This window comes from Homo sapiens, chromosome 2, assembly GCF_000001405.40.
Source record: "Homo sapiens chromosome 2, GRCh38.p14 Primary Assembly".
Classification (NCBI taxonomy): domain Eukaryota; kingdom Metazoa; phylum Chordata; class Mammalia; order Primates; family Hominidae; genus Homo; species Homo sapiens.
In genome coordinates this window covers 21,616,281-21,632,954 of record NC_000002.12, presented here as the reverse complement: position 1 = coordinate 21,632,954, position 16,674 = coordinate 21,616,281, and the positions used below count along the sequence as shown (strand labels likewise).

Genomic DNA, 16,674 nt, shown 5'->3' with positions numbered 1-16,674 from the left:
TAACTCATGCAGAGTACTTGGCATCTGAAGTTGTAGATAACCACAGATAAGTACATTCAATCATTCCTCAAATGTGGAATGAGCAATCAGGAGCTGGGTTCTACAGTACTTGCCTTTCTGGAGATCATGGTCCAGCGAGAAATACAGAAAATGGAATAGGAACAATTACTGTAGAATACACTGAGAAAGGTACTGGGTACTGGGAGAGGCAAAGTACAGGCAAAATGGAAGCATAAGGCGGATCACTCCTTCTAGCTGAGCAGGTCGGCCTCAGGTGACTTTTTGTGACAGTGCAAGGCATGCCTCATTCTCCATGTTGATGTCGTCTTTTTTGATGTTTCCATTGTTTTGATGTTTCTATTGGGTCAATGTCACCATTAAATCAGTAACATATGTATAATATATATAATATATTGCACTATAATGTTATTTGTATATATACACATAAATAATACATATTATTATATTTTATATATGTGTGTGTGTGTATATATATATAATAGATAAATAGGAATAAAAGATTATCCCTATTCAAAGAACTTAGTTGAGAAATGAAGCAAAAATAATTCCTACTCCTAGGGAGTTTATAGTTTACACACAAAAAAAAATATAGAGAGGCACAAATGTGGTATGAGATCTTGGTGATCAGAGTTAAAAGAGCAGAATGTATTCTAAAACCTACTTTGTTCATAACTACACATCAGGTAAATCAGAAAAGAGCCATCAAATCTAATCTGTCAACATCATTGTCTCCCATGCACCTTCTATGTTTCAGGCTCCAAGGATATAAAGGATAAGACACAAGGGCCAACACTAAGAGACAAAATTAAAGCCCTAAGGAGACACTGAAAGAGGCTAATTGTTTCTACTGCAGCTTTCATAGTCAGACATCTCGGATTCAATCTTTGCTCTACCATTTACTAGCAATGTGACTTTAGGCAAATTTCTTCATCTTGCTAAACCTTTGGTTTTTCACCTGTAAAATGAGGATAACTAAAAATGCCTAATAGGGTTATTTTTCAGTTTAAATGAGATAATATGGTTACAATTCTTAGTATAGTTCTTGGTTTACAACTGAGTCAATAAATGATACAACTCTTTTATTATAATGAAGCATATGGTCTAATAGAGGTCCTGTCATCATCTTCTTTCAGGAAGGGGTAAATACAGTCACCTACAAGATAATGGAAACTAACAATGGATACATTCCTCTAGCCAGTGGATATTGCTACTAAGAGATAGTAAAACTTACAACCAAACCCCTATAATGACCAAGAAAGTAAATAGATCTTAGAAATAAACTTGATTGACTTAAATGTTGAATTTTATCTGTACATCAATGTATAGCAAGGAACATGAGTGAAAGCTACCCTGAATCCAAAGACTCAGAAATAAGGAAGGTAGGCAGTGTATTTATGGCCTGGCCATTTGCCCCAATGCCTTTAATCATCCTGACTCTTGTCCAGGTCTGAGGCCTCTGCTCTTTACTCCTACAAATTCATTATTTTCTATTGTTTCACCCACATTCAGTAATTGAGGGATTCCTAAGACTTTTATCAAACATCTACTATAAATTGTTTCCTATTCTTTGGAAGCTTAGAACAGTAGGAAAGTTTTCTCTTGCAAATTGTTTTACCTATTTTAGGATAAATTGTGTTGCTAAATGAAAGGTCAGGGGGCACTGGTTCTTTCTGAGGCTCTCCAAACAAGATCAACAGATGAAATAGAGAGAATGTAAAATTCACCACAGCAATCTTCTTCAATTAAAGGATTTATGAACAAGTATTCAGAGAACTCAATTCTATGGAGAAAATTGACAAGTAGAGACCTTGAAATGGAGGATGGCTCGAAACTATGGAAGCTGGGAAGTGGTGAGCAGCTCCAGAGGTTAAAGCAGAAGCTAGAGATGTATTGCCATCTAAATTTATCTATTCAACAAGGTGAGAGGTGGAGAAAAGTCTTTGGAAGAAAAGTTCCACTAGGCTGCTTTTTTCCTCCCTTTTTTCCATAGGAAGCACTTTGGAAACCAATGGCTGAAAAGTTTGCTTTCTGTGAGAAGTGTAAATCAAAGTCATGTTTCTGTTTCCAGCAGTAGAGGAAAGAGAGATAAACCTGATGGACACAAGCAGGTAAAATCTGCCCAAAATGACTCTGGGGCTTGTTGAAAAATTAACGCCTATGAGATCTGTCTCATTCGAGGGCAAGGCATGGCGGATCACCTTTCCACATCAGTGCCTGGGTCTGATCTGCACCATCTTTATACGCTCAGCAGATTAACTGGAGCCATCTGAAGGAACCCTATAACCAGGAGGCCGCTGTCCTCAGGGTTGAGCACCATCTATGGTCATATCAGGGAAACTGTATATTTCCCAGCCAGGAATAAACATTCTTGCTTTCAAGTCTCCCACCCTGATTGCCTCTGTGTTCTCTGGAAATACAGATAAAAATAGACAGGTCACACCACAACTAGCTATGGTTTGACTTTCTAAAGAGAAAAAGAAAATACTAACCATGATGGGGTGAAAATAGGCACAGAGACAGTAAGGTATAGTTAAGAGTAAACAGCTGGAGTCAGTCTCCCTGGGATCAAATTCCAGTCTCAGCGCCTACTACCTGTGTGACCTCAAGAAGTTGTTTAACCTCTCTGAGACTCAGTTTCCTCTGCAAAATGGAGGTAATAATGGTAGCAGTTGCATAGGATGAGTGTAGAAAATAAATATTAACATATGAAAAGCACTCAGAATCATATCTGACCCATAACAAAAGACTGTCATTATTATCAATAATTTCTCCTATTTTTTTTCTTTCTAATTTGGACCTTGAGAGAAGGAGAACTTGGCCCTCTTATGCAGGCCTTTGGATAATCAGACCCCATGAAGGCTTTCTTATGTGTAGGAAAAAGAGCCTTGGAGAAGTCATTGAGACATTTCCTTGTTCAAGATTTTTCTGCTTATTCCAGGGCCCTGGATCCACTTTAAAGGGACATCCATGGAAACCAAAGAGATAAGACTGTGCCTCGTCAATAAAAACCCCACATCTCTGGGACTCTGCCACCTGGGGCATTGTTGCCCTGAAGGAAGAAGCTGAAGGGGAGATTTAGTTCATTTGATTATCAGCCAGAGAGGAGCCATCCTTCAAGGCCTCCCAGTCTCTGGCTGCAGCAGTAACTGTAACACTTTCAGCAAGTCTGTACCTAGGCCTTGATCTGTGTGTAACTTTGGAGGTAGTTGAGCCGTTATTTGAAAGAATATTATTTTGAGCAAAGGAAGGAGCAGTAAGAGCTTTGGCTCTCCAATGGGGAAAAATGTATTCATCCTTTCAAACCTCTCAGTTAGACTTAGGCAAAATGCCCAATCTGCAGAAAACAATTGGAGATCCCTCTGAGGTCCTACTTGGTGGATCTTCTCTCTTAGAAGTGAATAGACACAGGAGCACAGGGGTCTTATGCAATAGATAAAAGTTCCTGCCTCTGGACACACAGCTCAACCTCCAGTCTCTGATAGAGGGAGGACCTATGCCTTTCCATGTGTGCCCAGAACTCACCAGCATCTTCCCTTGCCTGCAGAGATCAGTTCCTACTGCTCCTTCCTTGGCTCAAAATATATATTTTTTTAAATAATGGCTCAAATACCTCCAATGCTGGTAACTAAGAATGCCTGAAAGGGACTGTTACTGGCTCACCTTAAAAACCAAAGGTGTCATTTTCTGAACATTGTTTACATATTATGATTCAGTAGCAAACACACTGGTTTGGCAGTCAGACCACGAGAGTTTAGCCATGGCTGTGTCTGCTACTAACTTGCTGTGTGACTTTTTGTACCTCTGTTCAACTCTCTGGGATGAATGAGTCATCCTTTGGGTGACATGAAGATAACGCAGATACTATTCAGATTCATGATTGTCTCATCAAGTGAGGCTGCAATGGCCTCCAATAATGCAGAAAGCAATGAGACATATTAGAGAATCTACACATTCCAAAACTGTGTTTAAGGTATTTCACAGAGGTCATTGGTTGAGAAGTGAATTCTATAACAAATCTGTGATGTTTGACAATTGAAAACTAGTAAAACTATATAGTTACTTAAAAAAAAAAAGGGAGACTGTCAATATACCCATTGCTTTAAATGTGTTCACTTTTTAAGTAATAAATGTATCAAAATTATTTTTTTTCATTGGCCTCTGTCATAAAACAACAACTCAATGATGAAAAAATTCCAGAAAGTTTTTATGACAAGCTGAGCAGTGGAAACATGAACTTGTGAAATATTTAACTTTATATAATTTCTGAATCTTTCCAAATAAAGAATTCCTTCCACCTCTCCCTAGAAAAGATGACATGTCTGTGGTTCCATTCATTGACTAGAATGTACTGGTGGGTTGTGATGTTACATTTACTAAAATGTTCCACTGCCCGATGAACACCAAACTCCAAACAAAATATCAAACTGGATAACACAGTGGCCTGACTTTGTTAACACAGAACATTTTGCTTTGGGTTACCAAGTACTTGCAGAAAGGGGAAACCTGCAAATAGAAATCTTCAAGTGCATCCAAGGAGGAACCACATATCACCATTCTCTTTCTTAAATCATCACTCAGTGGATTTTGTACACTACCACCAACTCTATGCTATGTATTATTTTAAAATGGGTCATTTGAATCTTTACAGTTATGTATCATCAGCACCCAAACTTAGATCCAGGCAATCTACAGCCACATGACTGTGTGACAATGGGTGATTATGAAACAGATTCATACTTTAAATTTTATTATGTGTTCTCAGCACTTCATTGGGAAAAGGGAAATCTTATTTCTCAAGCAAGGAATACATAGTTGCTGAATGATGGATGGAATGCTGCCATCTCTTGGTAATCTAGCACAGAAGAAAACAGTTTTTAGAAAAGTGATTTTGCATTTTTATTGGCTAAAGGCAATGCAGTTAAGAAGCATAATTCTGTTCTTCTGGTGTCAGAACAATCTATAATTTCTGTTATTATTTTTAGCATTTAATGCTTACGGTGCATATTGAAGCTATTCCCTGACAATAATACCATATTAAAAAGAATCAATCACATGGTTTCACTGGCTTAGCTTTCACAAGAAAGGTCTAAATGAGATTGGCCCAGCATCTTCTCTTATACCTTTGCTTTTTGGGATCTGTTCTGAGAATTCCCTAATAAAGTTGCAAGTTACACATGACCCCCTTTGAGCATCATCTAAGTTTTCTCTCCTCCAATATATACACCAGGCAGAGAGACAGGAAAATGGTTGACCCTTCAGTGTAGCTTTTTGTAGAATGAAAAAGCTGAGACTGGGCATGGTGGCTCAAGCCTGTAATACTAGCACGTTAGGAGGCCAAGGTGGGTGGATCACCTGAGGTCAGGAGTTTGAGACCAAATTGCCCAACATGGTGAAACCCCATCTCTACTAAAAATACAAAAATTAGCTGGGCATGGTGGCAGGTGCCTATAATCCCAGCCACTCGGGAGGCAGGAGAATCGCTTGAACCCAGGGGGCGGAGGTTGCAGTGAGCCAAGATTGTACCACTTCACTCCAGCCTGGGCAAAAGAGCGAAACTCCGTCTCAAAAAAAAAAAAAAAAAAAAAAAAGAAAGAAAGAAAAGAAAAGATAAAGAAAAAAAGAAAAAGCTGAAATTCAGAAGACCACATGTCTGTTGCACATTGGTCGTACCACTTTGGCCAAGAAAGCCAAATCTCCTCAGTTTTCTCATCTCATTGGAGACAAAATCTCTATTCTACCTACCTTGCTGTTACTATGAGGATTGAATAGAATTGCAAATGTGAACATATTTTGAAAGAGGCAAAGAACTGTGATTTGGTCAAGGATTCTCTGACAGGTAATGACATTATTCTATTTTTTATAGAATTATTAATCAATCTAAATTATTTATACTTGGCTTTTTTTCACAGTTTATTACTATTTTTCTCAGAGGTGAGTGTCTGATGTTACCAATAAAACAATATAAACAAACCAGTAGACTTATAAAAGTGGCATTATCATTCATAAGTTGGCATGTCAGGAAAAGTTATCAAAGCATCACATCAATTCACCATGGTCCCACAGTTTGATTTTGGCCACCAAAAGCAGAGCACATTCAGAATAGCTTGAGAAGTTGGGAAACTCATTCTGCCTCACCGTCATTGCATTATACCTATAGTATACCTTCCACTGCAGTTATCATCTGTTAGAGCAACTTGTTTATATTTCTATCTTTCCCCAAAGATTGGGATCCTACTTAGCTTACTAATATGTGCTGCAGCAGAGCTTAACTCAGTACCTGAGACTGAATTTGTTTATAAATATTAATTTGATGGATAAATCAAAATGGATTAAGTATTATTAGCCATTCACCATATTCTGGGTGCCAAAGAGTGAAGAAGAGTCAGTTAAAATAAAACACCAAGTGCAATCTCCACACTGGAAAAGTATACACATTTTCAGAAGAACTGAAATTATTCGAAGAGAAAATACATTGAAAAATTACTTGAGATACATCCCATCAATACCTGATTTATTGAGAGTTTGTAGCATGAAGGTTGTTGAACTTTGTCGAAGGCCTTTTCTGCATCTATTGAGATAATCATATGGTTTTTGTCATTGGTTCTGTTTATATGCTGGATTATGTTTATTGATTTGCATATGTTGAATCCCATTACTGGGTATATACCCAAAGGATTATAAATCATGCTGCTATAAAGACACATGCACACGTATGTTTATTGCGGCACTATTCACAATAGCAAAGACTTGGAACCAACCCAAATGTCCAACAATGATAGACTGGATTAAGAAAATGTGGCACATATACACCATGGAATACTATGCAGCCATAAAAAAGGATGAGTTCATGTCCTTTGCAGGGACATGGATGAAGCTGGAAACCACCATTCTCGGCAAACTATCGCAAGGACAAAAAACCAAACACCACATGTTCTCACTTATAGGTGGGAATTGAACAATGAGAACACAAGGACACAGGAAGGGGAACATCACACATGGGGGCATGTTGTGGGGTGGGGGGAGGGGGGAGGGAAAGCATTAGGAGATATACCTAATATTAAATGACAAGTTAATGGGTGCAGCACACCACCATGGCACATGTATACATATGTAACTAACCTGCACGTTGTGCACATGTACCCTAACACTTAGAGTATAATAAAAAAAAGAAAATATGACAAAGAAGTATGCTGCTTACAGTTTTCTAAAATCTGAAAATATTTTGATTAGAAATAGGTAAGTCTTATTTATTTGGAGCAATAGGTGAGTTGAGGAAACAGGGAAAACTCTATGCTTCCTATAAACTTATAAAGTGAAAAGCTATTGGCAAGTTGGTATACACCAGGGAAAGTATACTGATCTCAATAACAAATTTAATAGGTTTACTTTAATCTGTGTAGTCATACATTTGGCATATTATATTGCTATAGCTATTCATTTAGAATATCATGACATACTGTCCAGAGAATGTCAACTGGCATAAAGAAGATTCTGGGAAAAAGTGACAAGAAGAAATAATGAAATAAATTGACTAGGGGTACAAGAGATGAAACAAAACTTTCAGGAGATATGGTTTGACTCTGTCCCCACCCAAATCTCATCTTGAACTGTAGTTCCCATAATCCCCACATGTTGTAAGAGGAACCAGTGGGAGGTAATTGAATCATGGGGGCGGTTACCTCCATGCTGTTCTCATGATAGTGAGTTCTCATGAGATCTGATGATTTTATAAGGGGCTTTTCCCCCTTTTGCTTGACACTTCTCCTTGCTGCCACCATGTAAAGAAGAATGTGTTTGCTTCCCCTTACGCCATGATTGTAAATTTCCTGAGGCCTCCCAGCTATGTTGAACTGTGAGTCAATTAAAGCTCTTTCCTTTTTAAATTACCCAGTGTTGGGTATATCTTCATTAGCAGCCTGAGAACAGGCTAATGAATCAACTATATTCAAAGTTGAGAAAACGTTCCTGTGAAAGATAGTGAGAGCTGATGCACAAGTCCAGCAAACAAGAACAACTACCAGTGGAAAATAGTTACAAGGATGTATTTTCTCAACATAAAGCAAAATGAAACAGCAACCGGAACTTCTAACAGGAGTCTCGGATGATTCAATGGGCTGTCCCACGTGGAGATGAGCTTCTTGTCACCAGGTGATGGGTTCCAGAGCAGGACAGGAGAGGACAGGAGCCAAGAGCAGAATGTTGGCAAAGGGTTCCCTCACGGGGTAAGAATCTTCCCTAAGTGAAATGACAAATTGTCACTATTTCATAATAAACATAAGCTATAAATATAGGATTTTTTCAATTATATATTTGTAAATACCAGGTGGGAGATTTGCTGTTAAACTATGACTTGAGAAGGAAATGGAGGAAGCAGAACCCTCCATGGTAAAAGAAAACAGCAAACTTTCAAATATCCACACTCCCTACATATGAGTCACAGTTAGCTGCTGCAGGGTCAGCACATATGTACTAGTTTTTGTTGTGTACGATTTAACTGGGTGCCATCTGCAATCTATAGGTAAGGAGGTCGCCTTACACATAATCACTAAATGCAGTCCTTCATCAAGGTAAGTTTGTCTTATATTTAGATAAAATGATTGTAAGTGTTTGCTTTTGAGATTGTAACATCCTCTGTACCTGCTCTCCTGCCTAGTACATAATTAACCTGTCATCCCACCCTGCAGTAATAAGTGTAATAGACAGGAAATACATTAGGAAGGAACTTTTGTGCGATGTGCTTTCAAGCCCTCCTTTATCCTTCAACTATCTTTCCTTTTAATTAGCACTTGGGTAACAGTGTACCATAATGAATTACCATATTACTGTTATCAATAAAAATTATTTTGGGTCCAAAGTAGTCATTAGGATGAAATGTGTAAGACCTGTTCTGGATAGTTTGTGGGGAGATAGCAGTTGAAAATTAAGTTCTATTTTATATATGAATGTTTAAAGATTCAGAGGATTCTCAGGTTTGTAAATCCATGCTTACTAAACATAAAGATCTGAATGTATGGGAGATAAAGGAAAGAAAGTGAATGTATGCATCTGGGGAAAATACAGTACTAATATGTTAAAAAAGATATTTTCATAAGATGGCATATTTAGAAAACATATTTTCCTCTGCTACCACTCTAGAAACCTGACCAAAACAATAGCAAGAGGACTATTTGTATCACAAATACAAAGGAATGGGAGAAAAGATTATAAAAACCAAATGCTACAGTCAAGGAAGCAGAAGAATGAGTGAACCTAACTTGTCAGATATGAGCATTTTGAACACTCAGCTGGTAGTAGAGAAAACAGAGTAACACACCTTCCCCACTTCTCCCCGTATCTTCTACAAGCTTAAGAATTGGTTACATCAGGTATCTAGAGCAGTGGATGTAAAGTTGGTACTAGAAAGAAAAAGATCAGGCAAGTTTGTTTAAGAAGCTGCATCAGAAATTCCCTTGTCCTCTTGGATCAGCTAGGCAACGTCCCTCCTACACCCTGTTTGTAGGTTGGAGGTGGATATATTATCTGTGAAGAGGGTAAAAGACAGGGAACACTTGAGACATGATACTCAGAACAGCAGAGATGTGATACTCTTCTTCTGCAGTGCTCTAAGAGTATTGGCAGCCAGAATTATACCCTCCGGGCAGAAAATGTGCAGTCCAAGAGAAAAATCTTAAAGCTCACAGTGAAAAGCCGAAGTCGTTTCAACTGTGGTAAAATCTACCAACATACACCGAATATCAAATCAAACTTTTTATGTCATCTTTTTAAATAGACAGGCAATTAAAAGAAAAATAATAAGAAATCTAAGGAAGATACCATTCAAAAGGCAAAGAACAAAACAAATAGAAAGAACAACTTGGACATAGAAGAAATTCGGAAAGAAAAAGAAAGTTCCAGTCATATCCTTACTGAAATAAGGGAAAATATCACACCCCCGAACAGTTAACAAAGTGTTATGAAAAGAGAATAACCATAAGACAAGGAATATCGGAAATGAACATAGGAAGGCAACATCCCCCCAAACCCATCAGACACCAATAAGCAGATTGAACCATACAGTGATGAATAGTTGCACATATCTTCCAGAAAGCAGAAGAATGAGTGGAGGTCAGAGAATAGAAACGAAAATTAAAATAAACAGTTAAGATTACTAATCATTCAGAAGTGTTCATATATAAGTAATAAACATAAAGGTAAAATAAAATAACTTTTAAAAGATTGCCAGCAATGATTATGTGAGTTCCTAGAATGAACAGTGTCATCACGTTTCCTGTAAAATAAGTAAAAGATACTATAAGGCACAACATCATAAAATTTCACAACACTGGAATAAAAACAAAACCTAAAACTAACTATTGCTGAGATTTAAAAGGAAGAAAGTAAGCTAAGTAAAAAGATGGAGAAAGAGAAAGGCTGTAGACTTTTCAACAGCACTGCTTGAATTTAGGAGACAGGGAAATAGTGGCTTTAAAACTTTTCATAAGATGGCATATTTGGAAAACACATTTTCCTCTGCTACCACTCCAGAAACCTGACCAAAACAATAGCAGGGAACTATTTATACCACAAATTCAAAGGAATAGGAGAAAATATTATAAAAACCAAATGCTGCAGGCAAGAAAGCGGAAGAATGAGTGAACCTGACTTGTCAGATGTGAGCGTTTTGAACACTCAGCTGGTAGTAAACAGTAACACACCTTCCCAGCTTCTCCCTGTATCTCCTACAAGCTTAAGAATTGGTTATATCAGGTTATCTTCAATTTAGAATTCTTTACTCAGCCTATCTGTCACTTTAAGTATAAGGATCAATAAAAAGCATTTGTAGACATGTAGTATCATAAAAGATTTGCCTTTCATGCACCCTTTCTCAGAAAAGTAATGAAACAGTGGTTACCAAAATAAGGAAGTAAATCAGAGAATGAAAAGACATGGGATCTAGGAATCAAAGTAGATGCAGGAAATCTCCAACTTGGCAATGGAAGGAGATATTAGACCGAAAGCTACATTGAAATCCCAGAAACAGGCTGGGCACTGTGGCTTACACCTGTAATCCCAACACCTTGGGAGACTGAGGCATGAGAATCACTTGCACCCAGGAGGCGGGGGTTGCAGTGAGTCGAGATTGCGCCACTGCACTCCAGCCCGCTGAAAGAGCGAGACTCCATCTCAAAAAAAAACAAAACAAAACAAAACAAAACAAAAGTCCCAGAGACAAAACAGTTCAGACATTAGCAGGTCAGAAGGACCCAGAAAAGATTCTTCAAGAAGAGGCCGATCAAATATTTGATGTGTTTTAACAAAAATACTTAGATACCAGAGATAAGAGTGAAAATGAATTAGTGGTAAACAAAACAAAACAACAAAAAAAGAAAAAAACTATTCTTAATTCTAAGGAAACCAAGAAGTTTTACATAAAAGAAAAAGTTGTCATAGTATAATACACTGTAATTCTGATCTAATCAAAAATTATGTCATAATTATTGTGGTAGGATGGAGTGTGGGAAGTGTACATGAGAAAGGTGACCAGCAAATAAAATTAGCTCTTTCTCTTCCACAGGTAAATCAATAGAGAATGCCTCAAGTGGAAAAATCAAAACATGTCAGTGTAAGTGTAGTACTAAGAAACATGAAGATTGATACCATAGGAAGGCAAAACTATTTGAAAATTGCCATTTTCTGGAATGGCAATTGAAGAGGTGTAGAAAGGCAATCATATTTTGTATAATTAGTCTTGTAGAATTATTTGCATCTTTATGTGCTATGTGGTAAAAAGTGTTGCATGTCTATAAAATTCAGAATCATAGCTACACAGTCACTCTTTAGAAGCCTAAAGCTAGCCTCAGGGACAGAAAGACCTTGTTAGAAGATGCCAATGAACATAACGTCTTCTGTTGAGCTATTTTGAGGACACAAAGCCTCCAAGGAAGACCAAAAGTAGCCAGAGGAAGAAGCAGAATTAAGCAGGAATGTTTAAATCCCACTTCTCATTTTTATAGAATGAAAAATTTTCTCATTTTCTACTCCCCTTGAGAGAAAGCCATGGAAACACTTCCTGTGCTCTCCCATGACCTCTTCTGAAATTAGAAGAAAGCACCGAGTATATGAGGCTCAGTTACTTCTGGGAGTACTGCTTCCTTCTGCGCGTATCGCCCTCAGGACATAGGTGCCCTCTGCTAGTCCAAGGGCTGCATTCTAGACAGTGTCTGGCCCTGACTCTGCAGAGAAAGGCCTGAAGATTGTGTTATATGTTGGATTCCAGTGGGAAGGTATATTAGATAGGGTGATTATTGAAGGAGATAAATCCACATTATCCAATTCAGCTTTATTAGAAAGAAAACTGTCATTCTAGTTCCATGTGTAGGATTCAAATATCTTATTTCTCATCTGACTTCAAACTCAGGAGAAGCAAAAGAAGGTGTTTTTATTGGAACTCCCTCTCCCCACAAACCTAATAGGCCTTATTGAACAGGTGATCTATCTGTTCCAATGCCTGGAATAGAGCTCCTTGACAAGTGATGGCACTGCTTCTGGTCATGTTGAGTGTGGTGGATGCTGTGACATGCTGCTCAGTGCCCCTTTCAGAATGGAAAAACTTGATTCCCAGCTACTGAGACTGTGGCTTTCAAATTGCTGTCTTCATGAATTGCCTTACCCAAAGACATATTTTTTCCCAAGGCAAACCACATCCAGTGATTGTTTAACATGGGGGTTTCCAGGCCAAGTCCCTTACCCTAATTTGGACAATTCTGAAGAGCCATGCCAGCTTCAGAGCTTCCTAAGGAGCAAGCAGAAATCTGGATTGAAACTATATCTCAACAAAACTTTTCCCTCTGGCAAACCCTGCTTCCATCCCAATCCTGTCCAATTCTGCTTCCTTCCATAAGAGTTGATTGCATCAGTATTCAGTAATCAATTTTCTGAAGAGTTTGCTCCATTCAGAATCTGCATGCCAGAGAACTCATCCTTCAGCAATGAGTAATATGTTACTATACAGATAAATCCTCATTGGCCATTGAAGTATATAACAGTTAACACTTAGTGTTTATTAAGTGTCAGTTATCCTATTAGGCATTTTATGTGTATCAACTCTTTTGCATGCGTGAGATAACACTATAGGTAGGTATTATTATATTATCATGTCCAAGATGGGTACGCTAAATTTTAGAGATTAGTAACTTGTTACGGTCACACTGCTCACAAGCAGCTGATCCAATATTAACCAAGTTAACCTATCTACAACAACTGCCCTCCTAAGCCCCTCACTAGAGCTCTCTCTTGAAGAAAATACCAATTTCTGTAGCCCTGGACCTTTAAGATTGTGAGAAATTTGCCACAAAGAAGCTCTCTTTGGGTAAAACATTCTCTGCTCTGTACGTTTTGTCTTCGCAAGTAGACAGTTTGGACCTTACAAGCAGAATCTTAAGTTTACCTTTGTTTTCTTTATGTGAACTAATGAAAGTTAATTTTAAGACTTTGTTTCTTCAACATTAGCCAGGAATAGCTAACTTGTTTTGTAGTGCCATTACAGATGTGTAACAAAAAGTAGGCATGAGTGAGGAAAAAATGGATTTTCTCTCTTTTCCAATTTCAATAGTCCACCTTTTTTTTTTAACTTGAGATATGTATGATCCTGTCCATCGAAACCAGTTTCTTCTGAAGGAATCTGCTTTTCATCCTCACTCTTGCTCCCAGGGAGATCCCCATGGTTACTTTCAGCAGTCCAGCCCAAAGAAAATCAACCATACACTACTACTGAAAACAAATTTTGAGACGATCTATCTGTTCCAACGCGTGAAATGATTTTGGCCTTTCAGTGCCTCAAAGAGATTTGGAATATCTCAGATTTATAATATGGAAAAGCTTAACGAACTTTTATAAATTTGTTTAACTCAGCATAACGTGGTTATTCATTGAGGTGGGAGTAGGGCATTCTATCTGCACTTATAGGTGATACTGAAAAACACTCTAATACTCCACCTAAGTTATACCAACTAAAATTTTGACATAGAGCACAGCATGTTGACACAAACCTATCAGACTATCATCTGCATCTTAATCTCCTTTTTCTAACAGAGAACTTGAATATACTTGATCTCTGCTCTCTTTTTTCATTTCCAAGACTATCTTGCAATAAATTGTACTATTGCTATGCTAATCACCTTAATATTTTCTTCTCTATCTCCTCTTCCTTCTTCAGTTTCAAATTGAAATTTTTTCTATCTACTATGAATATTCCTTATGTTACAGCTGGGCAAAAAGCTTCCTACAATAGAGTTGACAAGTTAGTAGACTTACTACCTGGCTGGTTAAGCCTTACCTATTTTTTTAGTCTGGCACTGTCTAGATAGCACTTCTTTATACAAGCATAACGCGAACCACATCTGTAATTTTAGATTTTCTAGTAGCCACATTAAAATGTCCAAAGAAACAGGTGAAATTAATTCTAATAATTTGAGAGGAGGCAGAGCAAAACAGCAGAATAGAAAGCTCCAGCAATTGTTCCCCTCTCAAGGACATTAAGTTAACAACTATCTACACAGATAAAACACTTTCATAAGAACTAAAAATCAGGCAAGCCCTCATTGTACTGCTTTTAACTTCTCATCACCGAAAGAGGCTTTGAAGAGACAGAAAAAACAGTCCTGAATCACCAACACCACCCCTCACCCACCCCCGACAGCAGCAGTGTGATGCAGAGAGCCTCTCTGGGTGCTGGGGGAGAACACAGCAATTGTGAGGCATTGAACTCAGTGCTGTTCTGTTAGAGCAGAAAGGAAAACCAGACCAAACTCAGCTGATGCCTGCTCACAGAGGGAGCTTTCAAACCAGCCCTAGCCAGAGGGGAATTGCAGATCCCAGTGGTCCAAACTTGAGTGCCTACAAACCTCACCACCGAGGGCTACAGCACGCTGTATCACCAAGTAAACTTGAAAGGCAGTCTAGGCCAAAAGGACTGCAACTATTAGGTGAGTCCCAGTGCTGAACTAGGTCCAGAGACAGTGGACTGAGGGGACACGTGACATACTGAGACACCAGCTGGGGAAGCCAAGGGAATGCTGGCATCACCCCTCCTCTAAACCAGGCTGCATAGCTCAAGGCTCCAAAAGAAACCCCTTTCTTCTGCTTGAGGAGAGAAGAGGGAAGAATGAGAAAGATTTTGTCTTGCATCTAGGATACCAGCTCAGCCACAGCAGGATAGGGCACTGGACAGAATCATGAAGTCCCTGTTCCAGGCCCTAGCAAACAGACATTTCTAGACACATCCTGGCCAGAACCCACTGCCTTGAAGGAAAAGACCCAGTGCTGGCAGCACTCATCATCTGATAACTGAAGAGCCCTCGGGCCCTGAATAACCAGCAGCAATACCCAGGTGCTACATCGAGGGCTCGGGTGATCCTCTGAGACTTGATGGCTTCAGGTAAGACTCAGCACATCACCACCCTTGGTGGCTGTGGAGCAAAACTCCTTCTTGAGAAAAGCAGAGGGAAAAGTAAATGGGAATTGTTCTTGCGCCTTAGGCACCAGCACAGCCACAGGTGAGTAGAGCATCAAGTGGGCTCTTGGGGTCCTCGATTCCAGGACTTGATGTTTGGATGGTTTTTTTGGACCTGTACTGGGCCAGAGGGGAGCTCACTGCCCCGAAGGGTAAGTCCTAGGCCAGGCAGCATTCATGACAAGCTGACTTAAGAGACCTTGTGCCTTAAGAGACGATGGCGGTAATCTGGTAGTACTCTTTGTGGTCTGGGGTCATGGTGGCTACGGGGTGAGGCTCCTCTGCCTTTGGAAAGCAGAAGAAAGAGTGGGAAGGACAGCATATTGTGGTTTTAGTGCCAGCTCAGCCACAGTATAATAGAAAACTGGGTAGACTTCTAAGGTTTCTGACTCTAGTCCTTTACTCCTGGATGGCACTTCTGGACCCACCTTGCCACCCTGAAGTGAAGGACACAGGCCTAGCTGGCTTTGCCACCTGCTGATTGTAGAGCCCCAGGGTATTAAGTGAACATAGGCAGTATCCGTGGAGTAGGCCTTGGGCAAGACCCAGGGCTGTGCTGGCTTTAGGTCTGACCCAGCACAGTAATAGTGGTGGTGCCCACAGGGAGGCTTGTGTCACTCCACCCACAGCCTTAGGTGGCTCACAAGAGAGAGACTGTATGTTTTGGAAAAAGTAATGGAAGAGAACAAGAGTCTCTGCTTGGTAATCAAAAGAATTTTAGCATATCTTGTCCAAGACCATCAAGGCAGTATGTCAATGTGTCTGCAAGAACCACAGTGTTATTGGGCTTAAGTTACCCCCTAAGGTAAATACAGCTTGGATCACAACACTCAAGTCCTTTCAAATATCTAAAAAGTCTTCCCAAGGAGGATGGCTACAAATTAGCCAAAACAGTAAAGACTACAATAAATACCTTACTCTTCAATACCTAGGAAAAAAAAAAAAATAAAAAAGAACATCTACTAACATCAACACTATCCAGGAAAACATGACCTCACCAAATCAACTAAATAAGGGACCAGGGACAAATCCTGAAGAAACAGAGATATGTGACAATTCAGACAGATAATTAAAAATAGTTGTTTTGAGGAAACTCAAAAAAATTCAAGAGAGCACAGAGAAGGAATTTAGAATTCTATCAGATAAATTTAACAAAGAGTGCA

The 16,674-nt window shown here is 39.0% G+C and overlaps 1 long non-coding RNA gene across 10 annotated transcripts in view; it reads left to right on the top strand.

The window, feature by feature from the left end:
• Positions 1 to 16,674, top strand: part of LOC101929230 (uncharacterized) — a 42,108-nt gene that overhangs the window by 16,618 nt on the left and 8,816 nt on the right. For 6 of the 10 annotated variants that reach the window (XR_939807.3, XR_939806.4, XR_244974.5 and 3 more), the window contains 2 exons: positions 2,012 to 2,129; positions 2,960 to 3,113. The exons of 1 other annotated variant lie outside the window; for it this stretch is intronic. This is a non-coding gene — a long non-coding RNA (uncharacterized LOC101929230). Of the gene's footprint in view, positions 1 to 775; positions 904 to 1,769; positions 1,872 to 2,011; positions 2,484 to 2,959; positions 3,114 to 16,674 lie in introns of those variants that run through there. 3 more of the 10 variants (XR_001739326.2, XR_007088662.1, XR_939809.3) reach the window with 3 other exon arrangements.